At 37.3% G+C, this 15,500-nt stretch overlaps 1 protein-coding gene and 1 long non-coding RNA gene across 7 annotated transcripts in view, besides 1 other annotated feature; one reads left to right on the forward strand and one right to left on the reverse strand.

The window, feature by feature from the left end:
* LOC124906269 (uncharacterized) overlaps positions 1–15,500 on the forward strand; it is a 277,601-nt gene that overhangs the window by 134,416 nt on the left and 127,685 nt on the right. The window lies entirely within an intron of this gene.
* LSAMP (limbic system associated membrane protein) overlaps positions 1–15,500 on the reverse strand; it is a 643,114-nt gene that overhangs the window by 123,143 nt on the left and 504,471 nt on the right. The gene's annotated exons all lie outside the window — the stretch shown is intronic.
* Positions 7,355–7,404: an enhancer, noted in NCBI's record as "active region_20286". NCBI's record gives its function as "activates an Ori minimal core promoter by ATAC-STARR-seq in GM12878 lymphoblastoid cells {active_cell/tissue: GM12878}" and the evidence as "EXISTENCE:reporter gene assay evidence [ECO:0000049][PMID:35858748]".

The raw sequence follows: 15,500 nt of genomic DNA on the forward strand, positions 1-15,500 counted from the left end.
ATCTGTCTTGGTAATATTAAGTATTATAAAAATACTATATTTGATATTGCAAACTGTATAACAATAAAATTATTTGAGAATGATGGATCAGAGGCATTGCAAAAATTTTTGGAGTGTAACTAATATGAACTGACCCTGAAACACATTTTGAAAGTTCTTTGAATTAAACACTGAGTTATTGGCTTATTTATTAAAATTTCATTTTTAATTCTAAAAGTGGAATGCCACTGATTGAGTGTTCCAGTTAATTGGGTCAATTAACCTTTTTCTGAATAATATTATTTATTAATGCATAGAATATGTTGACATGCCTAGTGCAGAAAAACAGGAATATGATGGACTGAATAAATGGAATGGGTTTAATAAGGCAAACCAAAATTGTAAAATAGCATTTAACCTTGCTATTTGGGAGAGAACTTCAGATCCAAAGGGAAAAACAATGAAAGAGAATTGAAGAACATTAATGATGATTACATGTGATAGAAAGAAACAGTAACAGAGAAGGATAACAGTACATCCTAGAGAGCATTAAAAAGAAAAAAAAACATGTAAGGGAGTTTGCTAAACTGTTATGTGAGATGTATGAAGAAGTACAGAAAACAGGTGTCTGGAGATGGGCACATGCTGCCTCCATGATCATAAAGGGAACCTCTGTCTTAATTCTGGGCACGGCACTTAAAGAACAGTCTGGACACATGGGGCAAAGCTAGATGAGAGTGAATGGAATGGTAACATGTCTGATATCTCTCATACAGAGGGATTAAGGGAACTCATTGGAACAAGTGCTGCCTTCAAATACCTGAAAGACTGCCACATGCAAGGGGATTGAACTTTGTAGTCTTAGAGAACATAAGAACAGAGGACAGGAAATCACACGGAAATGGTTTTGAACCAACATATACATAAACATTTTTCTAGCACTGAGAGCTCACCAATAAAGTGTCATGAGAACAGATAAAATTTTTGCCGTGTTCACAGTTGGATCGCCAGTGCAATTGTTCTCAAACATGGATGAACATCTGGTGGAGCCTTTTGAAAAAATAGGCACACTCAGCTTCCCTCATGAGAAATTCAGATTTGGGAGTCCTGTGGGGGTGTGCTCCTCTGGAGTCCTGAAATGCTCCACAAGGATGCAGACGTGCATCAGGAGTTGAGAACCACAGTCCTACTGTGAAATACAGGACCTGGCAAATGCTAAAGGCTTATTAATTTCTTGATTCTAGACCTTTGAATTTGTTCTCTCTGTCAAGAACATTATTCCCCAGGCTTCTGAAAGTTTTACTCCCTCACTTCACTTGGTCTAAAATAGGACCATCTCCCATCTCTTCTTGACTTTTCTTTCTCTTTTTTGTACTCATTCTTTATCTAAAATTCTATTCATCTATCTGATAATTGGTCTCCTTGCCACTACAATATAGGCTCCATAAGCACAGTAACTTTGTCTTATTCTTCGCTGCATATTCAGTGTTTAGAATGAAGTCTGAAAAATAATAAATGCTTAAGAAACATTTGTTGAATTAATGAGAAGATAAATGTATGAATGACTGCTTATTTGTTGACTGTTTGACTGACAAATTGAATGGTACTCTTCTTTATGGGAAATATATTCAACCCCACGCTTGCTGACCAAGCAACGGTGCTTTGGGAGAAATCACACATCATAAAGGACATTGATCTCAAAAGTTTCCCAGCCACAAAGAATAGATAGGGCATGGTGAAAAAAGAAGATGAGGAGAGACTTGGCATAAAAGACAGCAGAATTAAGAAGGAACTAGAGAGCAATGGAGTGAAACAGCCTGCTGAGAAGCTGGCTATGGCAGCTGACTTGTTGAAATATTCACCACACTCTGAAATAACAGATGTTCATTGAGGGATCTGTGAGAGCATTTGTAATCTGCAGCTTTCTATGCCTCCTCCTCCTACCTGCCTCCCACACACAGCAGCTTGCTGCCTGGCCTGGCCATCTATTCCCAGAAAGCCCTTCTTCTTTCCAAAAGAAAGAGACAACCCCACCCCACATAACCATGGTTATGTATTATTTTATTTTTGATGGAAAGGTTCTGCATTCCTCCTTTTCTTAACTCTTTGGCGTCCTATCTCCTCCTCTGGTACTCCTGCCCTTGCTCACTCTGCTTCGGCCACATTGGACTTCCTGCTCTTCTTTAAACATGCCGGGCATATGCTCACTTCAGGGCTTTGCACAGGCTGTACGTGCTGCCAGGAAAGGCCTTTCTCCAGAAGGCCGCCTGGCCCCTTCGTCCCCTCCATACACTCCCGCTGCTTCAAGTCTTTGCTCAAATCTCACCCTCTTCTAAAGTCTGACTTTGACAACACCATTTAAAGAGCAACCTTGCTCCAGCCACATACCTCGAGACCATTACTATGCTCTACATTTTTCATTTCTCCAAGGAATTGTTACTTGATAAGCATACTTTTAAATTTCATTTACTGTGCCTAATTGATTATCTGCCTTCCCACAATAACTGCTAGAATGTTTATGAGGGCAGTGAAAAATTTTCGTTTTGTTTAAAATTGCAATCCCCATGCACAGAAAAGTGCCTAGCATATAGTATATGCTCAACAAAATTTGCTGAATAACAAAATGAATAAGTGATATATCAAAATTAAATAAAACCAAGAAGAAATTCATTAAATAACACTAATTCAAATGAAAAAACCTGGGAATCTCTGGTCTTTTTACTTTTTACTTTAGCTTCCCCTTTCCCCCTTAGCTTTCGCCTTTACTTCTCATATTTGCTTCTCTTCTTTAATGATTAATTTATTCAAAAGGCTCTTATTTAAAACCACTGTTCATAGAACATCTCACTGAGCTTGTGAAGGCGGCAAAAGTAAAAGAAGACAGTGCCTAGTAGTTCACAATGTGGATATGAAGAGAAGACATTGATAAAAATGTCTCCTTCTCAAAGACTGTGGGTTATAAAAAAGGCTTACACCGTATTTCCTTTGCTAAAATGTAAATGTGAGAAACAAAATAGCTTTAATGGCTTAATGGAAGTCAGAGATTTGGGGGAGAAGATGAGAACTTCCTTTAAAATGTTAAGTGCATATTGTGAATCTCTAGAGATGTTTTATAGGATTTGTTGATTTATTTCCCAGTGAAATGATCCCTGGCAGGAAAGACTGCAGAGTCCTGCAGAGTGCAGGGGGTGAGGAGGGGCTGTAAAGGAAAAGGGTGAGAGAAAGAAGAGCATAAATCAAGAATGTTGAGGAAACTTAACCCCAAGGTGTGGGAATTATATTCTGTAACCGTGGATCCCAGGTCACAGGCCAGTGAAAGGAAATTGAGAGAAAATGGGAATTCTGAGGGAATGTTAAGGTATTTTCATTTGAAATGCTAAGGGCGTAGGGAAGAAGACCAGTTTCATAAATGTTGGGATGTCAAGATACCTTCTTTTTTCTATGTGACTTATGGCTTATCATGCAGGTTTTTTGTTTGTTTTTTTTTTTTTTTTTGCTTGTTTTATGGGGCTAGTTAGGTAGCGCTTAGCTGTAATAATATTCTATGTGAATATTGGCTGATTAATGTGGGCCCTAAATATTACTAGATAGAGGGGTGTCCCTAGAGCCTACCAGGAAAGCATCTTGGTCTTTTAGTGCATCAAATGAGGAAAATAAATGCAATTGATTAACTCTGCAATGAAGAGTAGAAAGATAGGAAGACTAGTCAAAACAAAAAACAAATAAGAAAACAAAATAAAACTCCAAACTAACAAAACAAAACCCCACCTTAATCCTAAAGAGCCAGGAGCAGAGGCATAGATATTTCAAGAGGCAGGAAATGTCTGAAAGGATTGGTGAGAACTATAAATCTAGGCAAGGTTAGAAGGTCACATGGAATTCTACTTGTGACACTACTTTGATCCTCAATTCTCAAATAGGTGATATTTCAACAAATTGAATATCCTGTACATAAGTGGAGAAAATAAAAAAAATTCCCTTCTTTAGTTTCTTGGTGGTAGCTCTAAAGACAAAAAACTTTCTTGATCTACTGAGCAGGCAGGTGAAAATACACATCAAACAGGGAGAATATGGTTTCTAAAATTTGTTGGCAGCAAGTTGCTCATTAAACAAGTGTCTAACCTTAGCTAAATAAATTTTACCTGTTGAATAGGTGGATTGTAAATTCCTTTCCTACTCATAAATGCTATAAAATTCTAAATATATTTATAAAGAAAAACAATGTAATGAAGGCATAAAAGAGCCCCTCCTGAGATTCACAGGGCTAGTTCTAATAAAAGTGGCAAATTTCAAAATAACTTGAAAGGACTGAGACATTCCCTTCTACCATGCACCCTCTAGCTTCTTGGAGTTCTACTCTTTGTTTCAATCTTTTGTGATTAAGCATAGTTCTATTTTAGTGACCACCTTAAAAACTCTAGCAAAACTTCTGGAAGAGACAGTGACTGACAGATAATAGATACATACAATAAATGTTTATTATCCAGATCTATAAATTTAGCAGAAGTTTTTTTTTTTTTTTTTTTTTTTTGACACAGCAGATAGGTCTTGTGAAGTATTGAAGCCTATGGGCAGAGAATTAGACTGGGGAAAGGATTAGCTATATAACCAGTGACTTTGGGTGGAACTCTATACCAGCTCCATCTGTTTTACAGTTGGTTCTGATGCCATAAAGAAGGGCAATGGTATGCTCTTCTCAGCACATTGAATTACCAAAATAACCTCCTTCAACAAAATTACAGATTTATTTTTGAGAGTCAGAATGTAACTTTTTAACCTGTAGATCCACGGCTAAAAGAAAATAATAAACACCCAATAAGCATGTATTATGGGCCAGGCACAGGGTTAGGTACTTTCACTTTTATTATCTGAGCCCCTCCTTGAGGAGGGATAGTAGGAAATTCAACAGTAACAATATGACTATGAGGTGGCTAACGTGGCTAATTTGCTACTAGGGAAAGGAGAATAAGTTTTCTTAGCTAGGTTAGTCTCCTACTCAGTATATTCCTAGGGAAATCAGGCTGGGAAACCCAGTACACAGTAAGTAGAAAGAAGAGGTATATGGCTGAAGAAAATCCACTCCAACCAAATGAGACTAGCATTAATTATTATCACTTCTTAACTTCTGGATCATCCAACAGCCTACAATCCAAATGAAACATGCACCTGTATAAATCTTTAGATTTGAACGACTTTAAAGTGCAGTAAAGCACTTCGTTAGTGGTCAAATGCTAACCTTTGCATTTTTCACTTTGGGAGATGAGAGGAGATTAACAGCAATTTGGGTCTTTAGAGGTTCCTCTGCCTAACACCCTGACACCACAGGGCTTCCCAGGCTTGTTTGGTGGAGATCATCTGGTCTTCCTTGGGATGAGGATCTAAGCCTGAAAATCTTAATGGCATATTTACTTTTATTTTTTCTATCACATTTTATAAAAACAAGATAAAAATTACATAAATTGTTTGAAAAGAAATACTCGTAAATTGAAGCCAGTCCTAGGTTTGTTAATGAACACTTCTATTTTTACAGAAAATGTCATAAGGTCATTGTTGACTGCAGATGATAAGCAACCCAATTGGGTGTTTATTCTAAATATATCACTGCCAGTGTAACCCTTGGCAGCACCCCACTTCCTCCTTCCACCCGGGATTTCCCACCAGATGGGGAGAGAGCTCATTACTAACCCAGAGGAGAGAACTGACGCCAACACCCACAGCAGCAGTTCAGTCAACCCCTTCATTACTCTTCCTTCTGCCTAAAATCCCAGCAGCCTCTGGTGAAAACCTTGGCCATAGAATGCTGTAAATCTCAGGATCCCTCACTAACGCTTCACTTTTCATGGAGGTCATGACTAAGTTGAGAAAGACTTTCTTTGCCTGCCCCCAGCTGAGTGACCTGCTTTCTCAGCAGCATGATTTCTCTAATGAGATTGTTCCACAAAGAGAAGAATGAAATCAAGTGTCAGGGGGTTGGATCAAAGTGGCTCTTATTCTCTGAGGCACAGGGTCAGACTGCAGGTACAAATGAGCCGTTGGGTCAGAGAGGGTCCTGTTTAGAGCGTGTCTCCACCCCCATCATGTCTCTTCTTTCTCCTTGTCATGACCTATCTTTAAAACTATGGAAAAGATCTCTCATGCAAATGTTTAAATTGATTTCAGGAAAGATGCATGGAATATCTAATATGTATAGCTATTCTTTGGAGCACTTAGCTCATCATATATACATTCCTATCACAGTCATCCTGTACACCTTATCTTATTAACAGTAATCCCATGAGGTAGACTGTTACTTTTCTAAGTTTATTGAAGAGAAAACTGTGACTCAGAAATGTTGAGTAACTGTCTCCAAAACAAAGGACGAGTAAATAGCAGAAGGGAGATTTTTACCCAGTTTTTAATCTGTCTTCAAAATATATAAGCCCAACCCTCTGATACAGCAAACAATAGATACCTAGCATTGAGCTGGGCGATGTGGGGGATTCAAAGATGAAACAGGCCATGTTATGGACTCAAGCAGTTTACAGTGTAATTGTTGAGACAGACATTAATGTAAATTATATATTAAAAAAGAGAGAATGTGAAAAGTGTTATGCCATGGTAGGAGTACAAAAAAATGCTTTGATAACATTAAGGTTAGAGTAAGATGATAATAAAATAGCTATCATTTATTACATTATTTTAAACCTGACAAGAACTTATAAGAAAGATACAATGACTGTTCCCATATTATAGATACTGAACTTGTGTCTTACTCCAAATCATTAAGAAAATGGGAGAAAGGAAATTTGGACTTTTGTCTTCTGACCACAGAACCTGTGCTTTTAACTTTTACATTACACTAATTCATTGTCAGTGAAAGAAACTATTTTGTAGAGAAATTGTAATTTTAGTTAGGCATGAATGGATACTTTTTAAAAAAATAAAAACGTTTTCTGGTGAGAAAGGGGAGTATGTCATTCCAGGTAGTGGAAAAAATGTGTGCAGAGGTACAGAGGGATAGGATAGCAAGGTGGATTCCAGAATCACAGAATAGACAATGATGTGAAGAGAAGAGAAACAGTCCATTGCTAAAGCTAAAGCTGAAAAGATGATCACATAGATTTTTTGGCATGTATAGTATAACTTATACATTACAGAAATCATAAAGTAGTCAATTTGAAGGAAGAATTATAACCCATGGAATGGTTCTCTTGACTATCTCTAGTTATTCTTTTTTTACTAGTCTTTTCCAACATGGTAGTCATTTTAAAAAATGATATGTATCTAATGACTTCATTTAGTGGAGAAATATTATTCAATTATTATTCAATTGTTTTCCAATTCCTAATGATGTTCAAGTAACTCAATAAATAAGAGAGTAATGGCCAAGGAATATAGAATCCAAATGAAGAGAATGCACTGTCAGAAACATCTCTTCCTGCTGAACAGTGGGTACGCAGTGGAAAGAGGTGGTGACTTGGGTGTTAGAGGAGGGAAGCGAAACTGAACTAGCTCTTGAGCATCAACTCATAATGTTTCAGGGGGAAGAAAGAGAAAATAAAGTGGGGAAATGGAATAAGCGAAGTGAGAGCTAGCAGTCAAGGAAGGTCGGAGCATAGACCTCGCGAAAGGGAGTGGTTTCACTCGACAAGTATGGAGAGACCCTGTTGTGGTCAGGAATGTCAAGCTTTTAAAAAGGCATTGGGAGCCCATTGAAGGTTGTTCATAGGATAGTGACAATAGGAGACCAGCAAAGCATTAGAAAAACGTTACTCTACAGTGGTGATTTTGAATGGTTCAAGAGGGGAGATACTGGAGATTTGAAAGACTGGTTGGAAGCCTACAGCATTTGCTCAGGTAAGTGGTAATAATAGTGACAATGCAAAGGATGAATGGGTTGAGAGATGTTACAGAGCAAAGATCCACAGGCTTTGTGAATGACTAAATTTAGGGAATAAAGAAGAAAAAAATCAACTTAATGCTGGATGAGTAGAGGAAAAATTATTAACATTAAGAGAAACTAGTTGTCACAAAATTAGAAGTTCTATTGGCCATGTTGAAATTGAGACCCGTAACATGAGCAGGCACCAAATAACATGGCCAGCAGGCAGAAATACTTATATCTAGAGCTCAGAACATCCTGTTGTTAAGCCCTGGTCTGCATAGGCATAGGAGCACCCCTGGAAGAGTGTGCAGAGAAAAGATCAGCGGCAGAAACGTAAGGAGTATCTCCATACTGTGGTGACAAGAAAATGATCAGCCATCTAAGGAAACAGTAGAACCTTAGTAAGATGTTATTGAAACAAACAGAGGAGAGTCAGCAGAGTCAAAGCTGCAGTGCCCTCCGCGAGAATGTGCCTGTTGGTGTTGTCAGTCTTCTGGGAAGGAAATACTATAGAAGAGTGTTTGGGATAGAAGTCAGCAGGTTAGACTTAACAGGGAACAAGGGGGCAGAAGCAATAAATGTAATTCATTCTTTTAAAAATGTTGGCATTAAAAGGAAAGGAGGATTGGCTAGTGACTTGAGGAAATAGCACTGATAAAGAAAAGTTTTTGCTATGGAAAACATAATTCTATCAATGTGTTTTGATAGGGACCTTGCAACTCAAAAGCTTAAGTTTATTTACCTTAAAATAATTTCCTCAAATGGTTTCTCAAATGTATAGTTGATGTGGTGTTTTATTTTTTATTTTTATTTTATTATTTTATTTTATTTTTTTTTCAGTCAGAGTGTCACTCTGTCACCCAGGCTGGAGTGCAGTGGTGCCATCTTGGCTCACTGCAACCTCCGCCTCCCTAGTTCAAGCAATTCTCAAGCCTCCGCCTCCCAATAGGTTGGATTACAGGCGCCCGCCACCATGCCCGGCTAATTTTTGTATTTTTAGTAGAGATGGATTTCACTACGTTGGCCAGGGTGGTCTTGAACTCCTGACCTCAAGCAATCCACCTGCCTCGGCCTCCCAAAGTGCTAGAATTACAGGTGTGAGCCACTGTGCTCAGTCCTGTAGTTGATATGGTGTTTTAAAAGTGTTATGGGGCTGAAGAAAAATCTTATGTAAAATACATATATACTATATTTTATTTGAACCTCTGGATCATGATAAAATGGACACTGTATTATGTAAGATAGCAGTACTTGATGAACTAATGGTTTGAGTAGATAGAACATGTGTTTTGACATTAAATGAGAAAATTTATTTTCTTTTCTACACAGATTGCTTATATCAGCTTCACTCCATATGTAGAAGAATGATTCTGGGTTTGTGACTGACCAGATTTGAAGCCTAGGGAAAATTAATTGACTTTTCTGGGCCTCTGTGTCATTTTCTAACAATCAAAGTTTCAGACTTGAAAAGTTCTTAGGCATATTACATCTAGGAAATGTTATGTATCTTCCCTTCCTTGCTCTAGCTCTATTTTGGGGAAGATTTTAAAAACACTGTGTACAAGTGATGAGTAAGATTAGAATACTGGTCAAGCTTCAAGAAAAAGTTTCAAAATTGAGTACTAAATTATTTATTGGGAAATAAAGGAAGGGCATGAATGAGACCTAATATAAACAAACAAACAAAAACAAAAACAAAAAACAAAAAAAACCTCACCAAATAATGAGAAAAAAAAAGGTGAGATAATGATGGCTTCTGAAATGTTAAATATAATCTGGAACAAGAAAATGAAAGAAAAAGGTAACTCAAGGAATAAAATATGAAAGGAAGGAAATAGAGGGGATAGAGGTAGTAAAGTTCATTTCGTACAGGCAGTTTTGTACTGTGCTCAGTTTTAGATGGAAGGAAGACTTGATCCTGAGGATGATGAATGAACTTGAGGGATCAGAAGCCCTGAGGGATGACTTCTCTGCTTTCTGAAAGAGGTGTGGCCGGGTGGGGGGATAAAGAGGCTCTTGAGAGAGTCAAGTGGAATGAACTACAGACAATGGCAAACCACAATCTTGCCTTTATGGTCCTTGAGGACAGTGGACAGAGCCTGAGTGCTGTGCTTCACACGCTGCTCGTCCCAGCAGAATGGAAGTCCACTAGGTATCGGAGGCTCTGCTATTTACTACTGAGTTATCTCATCCTGTTCTCTATTCTCCTGGGAAATGATTTAAAAGTCTTATCTTACGAGAGTTGATTGGGTAGCCACTGCCTTATTTCTTTCTGGGTTTGAGATATACCTCTGCACCTTTTGTCTTTTAGATGAAAAGAAACTCTCATCTCAGAGTGGCAGGATGGGGGTATGTCTTCAGGGAAGCAGAAAAGGAAGAGACAAAAATTTTTCACATCATGACAATTCCAAGAAATAGCAAAATGTTTTAGTGTCTGTAAAATCTAGCAAGGTGTCATGACACTTCTTGGCTGTAAATAGCACTCTTTCAGAACCTGGAACGTAATTTGAAGCGTCCTGCCAATCTCTTCCCTTTCCTTCCCACCACACATGCTGTAATACCTGTCCCAGGCAATACTGTCAGCTGTGACTTTATGATCTGACCACACTTCTGCTATTTTGGTATTAAATTGGATTTGAACTTGGGTCTCAATTCAATTCAGTTCAGTTAACATTTCTTGAACACCCATAAGCCAAGGTCATTAACCTCTATAAGTGACATCCAAACCTCTCTAAACAAGCAAATCAATCTGGAAGTCCGAGAGAACCACACTTTCTTACAACATTTCCAGTATCTTTCAGTGTTTTCCTACTTAAAGTATCTCAGGTTTGCTTTAGCGAGTCAGTATTCTTTGGTAGCTAGAATAGCTAAGGGACTAGATTTCATGTGGATCTTTATTTGAGTAGGGAGAGTGTATCCTGCCAAATATTCTGTAGGTCGTATTTAAATTGTTAGTAAAGACTAGCATGGATTTGGGTTGCTGCCCCTGACACTTCAGAAATTCAGAACAAAATAAATCCTCAGCTTGATTGCTTCATGCTTTTATTAATTTGGTGTGCTTTTTCTTTAACTATTTATTAATCCATTCTGAAAATGCAGACAGAGTGAGGTGTCATAAAAAGAGAATCCTGGATTGGCCATATAATGATTGTGGGACTCTGGGAGTAATGCTAGAAGGTTATTTTTACTTGGACCTTTCAGGGAGGTGACAAAGACCTATCACTATTCCTGAGTTAAGGAGGAAAAGTGAGACATTTAGGTGATAAGAGAAGTAGCAATCTAAAAAAAATTAGCCTTTGGGAACCTGGAGGGAATTTTTAAGTCAAGGAAGAAGTCATGTCCAAAGTTCATTTTTTCAACTCATTCATTAAACATTTTTAGATTAAGGTCCTGCAATATTCTGGGCACAGTTGTGGGTGCTGGAAATACATATAATGGAGCAAAGAGCAGAGTAGCCACACTAAAGTCAGCAAAAGTAAGAGAATTCTGACTCTAGGAAGTTTGGGGAAATGCACAGACTAGATCTGAGTAACTTCAGATTTAGATAGAGCTGCAATTAATAGTAGTTTTCATTTAGTTAAGTGCATAAGCTATATTAAATATTTTAATTACTTTAAAATTGTCTTTACATTGTACTATATTGCTTTCATATACTCATGAATTATAATAAAGTTACCATTAAAATTGTAGTATTCTTTAAGATTTATATGTTGCATCGCAAGGTCCTATTAAAAAATACATTGTTTAGATCACAAAGTATAATTTAACCTGAAAACATGTGCTCTATCTGTCCAACTATCTACTTTTTATGTTTTATATAAAAAATTTTTCTTTGAAGAGAACCTACCATTTAATCGACCAAACCATTAACAGCAGCACCTAGTGTCAGCTTCTAGAATTTCAGGCACAATGAATAAAGGATATAGTCAATGCAATAAGATTTTATATGGATTGTAGTTTAAAAAATCAAAACATGGTGGCATAGAAATGTAATGTCTTGGCCAGGCATGGTAGCTCATACCTGTAATCTCAGCATGTTGGGATGCTGAGGTGAGAGGATTGCTTGAGCCCAGGAGTTCAAGACCAGCCTGGGCAACAAAGTGACACTCTATCTTTATAAAAAATCAAAAAAATAGCCAAACATGGTAGTGCACACCCATGGTCCCAGCTACTAGGGAGGCTGAGGTGGGAGGATTGCTTGAGCCCAGGAGTTGGAGGCTACAGTGAGCCATGATTGCACCACTGTACTCCAGCCTGGCGATAGAGTGAGACCCTGTCTAAATAAGAAAAGAAAAAAAAAAAAGAAATGTTTTGCATTATGTAAAAATTTTAAATACAGTGGTTCATCTCTTTACACATGCTAACTTAACAAACATACTATTCCTTTGTTAAAAGGGAAGCCCGCAGCATGCTAAATGATATTGGCTAATCCTGTATGGCCAGCTAAATGATATTGGCTAATCCTGTATGGCCAGCTACTTCTTCCACAGTGAAGATGTATACTTACTATGATCTGGTTGTGTTTACTATGAAATCTCTAACAGTTGTACTATTAATTATAATTAAGTAATTTAATTTACTATTGTGTGGACTGTTGAAATATATGTGTGGAAGAAAAGGTTTTTATTTAAACTATAGTCAGTAGTTTGAAAGCATTCATTAAAGGCAAGTAGCTTAAAAAGTACTCTTGTATTGAATGTGGGCAAGACAACAGTAAAAGAATGAAAACAACTAACAATAGATAAAAACACTGCATTCATATTATTTTACAAAGGTCTTTAGATTTTCACTGCATTCAAAAAAGTCCAAAACAGAAAATGAATAGATAATTTATTATGAGTGTGGTTTATGAGAGAAAAATGACCCAGAACTCTACTGAGCAGACCCATACTTGCCAAAATTACCTTGATTCTAAATCACAAAATAAATACATCATTGTACACTCATTTGCCTACATTGAAATAATGAAATGTTTGTGGAATAAGTTTTTTATTATTTCCATGTTTGAAATGACTTTTCCAACATTTAACCATTTAGTTTCCCCATTACATTCTTTCTATAATGAGTTCCTTCTTTAATGAGTATCACCTAAAGTATTTAACAAAAAAGTCAAGCATCATATTTATCAGAAATAATATTTTGAATAAATTGTAAACTATGTTTACGACCTTATAACATGGAAGTACAATTTTAACTAAGCAAAATACCAATCCACTCCGTCTTTGGTAGAATTAATCCTGAATAACATGAGTTTTGATTTAGAGGAGTTTTAAGAAAAACTTCCCATGTATAAAATTCAGGTACGAAAGAAGATGCATAATGCACACAAATTAAACAAAATCTTTTTAAATGTAGACATGTCAATATAGAAGGACAAGTAGTGAATTTCAGTATGTCAACAGTTGCAGTCATGTTGTTGCATAAGGCCACTGAAACAAGCATTTGTACACGTCTTCATTCAAACTGAAGTGCATTTTTTGTTTACATAAATATCTTCATTAAAAGACAAGGAATTCATCCATTTCAGTACTATGCCTAATTTTTTGTTGAATCCCTAGCACCAGAGAGCAGGTAGTTGGGAAACGTCAGTTTATTGTAACAATAAAGGACTTGATAGTTTTTATTCTATGTGTTTCATTGGCTTTCAGATATTGGGTCTATGGCTTTTGAAACATGTAGGAACATAATAACAAAGGGAATACACTTTGACCTTAGAAACTGGTACTGAAAGTCATAAAATGACTTGTTACCTGTCACAAGATTAGTTTATTGTATATGAGTAGAAAAGTCCAACTAATAAAAAGCAGGTTCTAATAAATAATAAAATAAATTTACCATCGAGATGTAATTTTTCACTGAAGCTCCAGTCTTAGTTTCCCCATCTTAAGAAGATTTTTTATTTTATAATAAAAAGGGGAAAATATATAACCTGAAGTAGAACAAACCAAGCAGGCATTGACCTCATCTAGGGATGCAGCATTGTACTTTATTCACAACATTAGATGGCAGCCTAAAGGGTAATAGTTTACTTCTGTTTAAAAAACTATTTTTGTTTGATGTAGTCCTACTTGTTTATTTTTGCTTCTATTGCCTGTGCTTTTGATGTTATACTCAAAGACTCAGTCAAGATCAGTATCAATGTCAAGGAGCTTTTTCTTTATGTTCTCTTTCTCTTTCTTTCTTTCTTTCTTTCTTTCTTTCTTTCTTTCTTTCTTTCTTTCTTTCTGTTAAGAGACAGGCTGGAGTGCAGTGGTGTGACATAGCTTGCTGCAGCCTTGAGACTCACTTGGGCTCAAGTGATCCTCCCACTTCAGCCTCCCAAGTATCTGAAACTATAGGCACACACTATTATACTTGATTAATTATTTTATTTTATTTTTGTAGAGATGGGGTTCTTGCTAGCTCTTCCAGGCTTGTCTTGAACTCCTGGGCTCAAACGATCATCCTGCTCCTCCTCTCAAAGCACTGGGATTACAGGCCCTATGTTTTCTTCTAGGAGTTTTATGGTTTTGTGTCCAGCATTGGTTCCTTCTGGTGGGTTCTTGGTCCCTCTGACTTCAAGAATGAAGCCACGGACCCTCACGGTGAGTGTTACAGCTCTTAAAGATGGTGTGTCCAGAGTTGTTTGTTCCTCCTGGTGGGTTCGTGGTCTCACAGACTTCAGGAGTGAAGTTGCAGACCTTCGCAGTGAGTGTTACAGTTCTTAATGGTGGCGCATCTGGAGTTGTTTGTTCCTCCCGGTGGTTTCGTGGTCTTGCTGACTTCAGGAGTGAAGCCACAGACCTTCGCAGTGAGTGTTACACCTCTTAAAGCTAGTACGGACCCAAAGAGTAAGCAAGATTTATTGTGAAGAGCAAAAGAACAAAGCTTCCACAGGTAGAAGGGGACCCTAGTGGGTTGCCACTGCTGGCTGGGGTGGCCAGCTTTTATTCCCTTATTTGGCCCCGCCCACGTCCTACTGATGGGTCCATTTTACAGAGTGCTGATTGGTGCATTTACAGTCCTTTAGCTAGACAGAGTGCTTATTGGTGCATTTTTACAGAGTGCTAATTGGTGCATTTACAATCCTTTAGCTAGACACAGAGCGCTGATTGGTGCGTTTACAATCCTTTAGCTAGACACAAAAGTTCTCCAAGTCCCCACCCGACCCAGAAGCTCAGCTGGCTTCACCTCTCAGTTTCAGATATTACGTTTAAATCTTTAATTATTTTGAGTTGATTTTTGTATATGATATAAGGCAAGGGTCCAATTTCATTCTTTTATACATGGATATCCAATTTTACCAGCATCATTTGTTAAAGAGATTTTCTTTTCCCCAGTGTATTCTTGTTGTCCTTGTCAAAGATTAGTTAACCACATATGTTTGGGTTTACTTCTGGGCTCTCTGTTTTGTTGCACCAGTCTATGTGTCTGCTTTCATGCCAGTATTATGCTGTTTTGATTAATATACCTTTGTAATATTTTTGATTACTATAGCTTCGTAATATAGTTTGAAATCAGGGACTGTGATACAAAGAAGCTTTGTTCTTCTTTCTCAAGATCACTTTGGCTATTCAGGGTCTTTTCTAGTTCCATTTCTTTTTCTCTAAAAAGCTTTTGTCCATAAAAGGGAATAATCAACAAGATAAATAGGCAACCTACAGAATGAGAGAAAATA

The sequence above is a fragment of the Homo sapiens genome, chromosome 3 (assembly GCF_000001405.40).
Source record: "Homo sapiens chromosome 3, GRCh38.p14 Primary Assembly".
Classification (NCBI taxonomy): domain Eukaryota; kingdom Metazoa; phylum Chordata; class Mammalia; order Primates; family Hominidae; genus Homo; species Homo sapiens.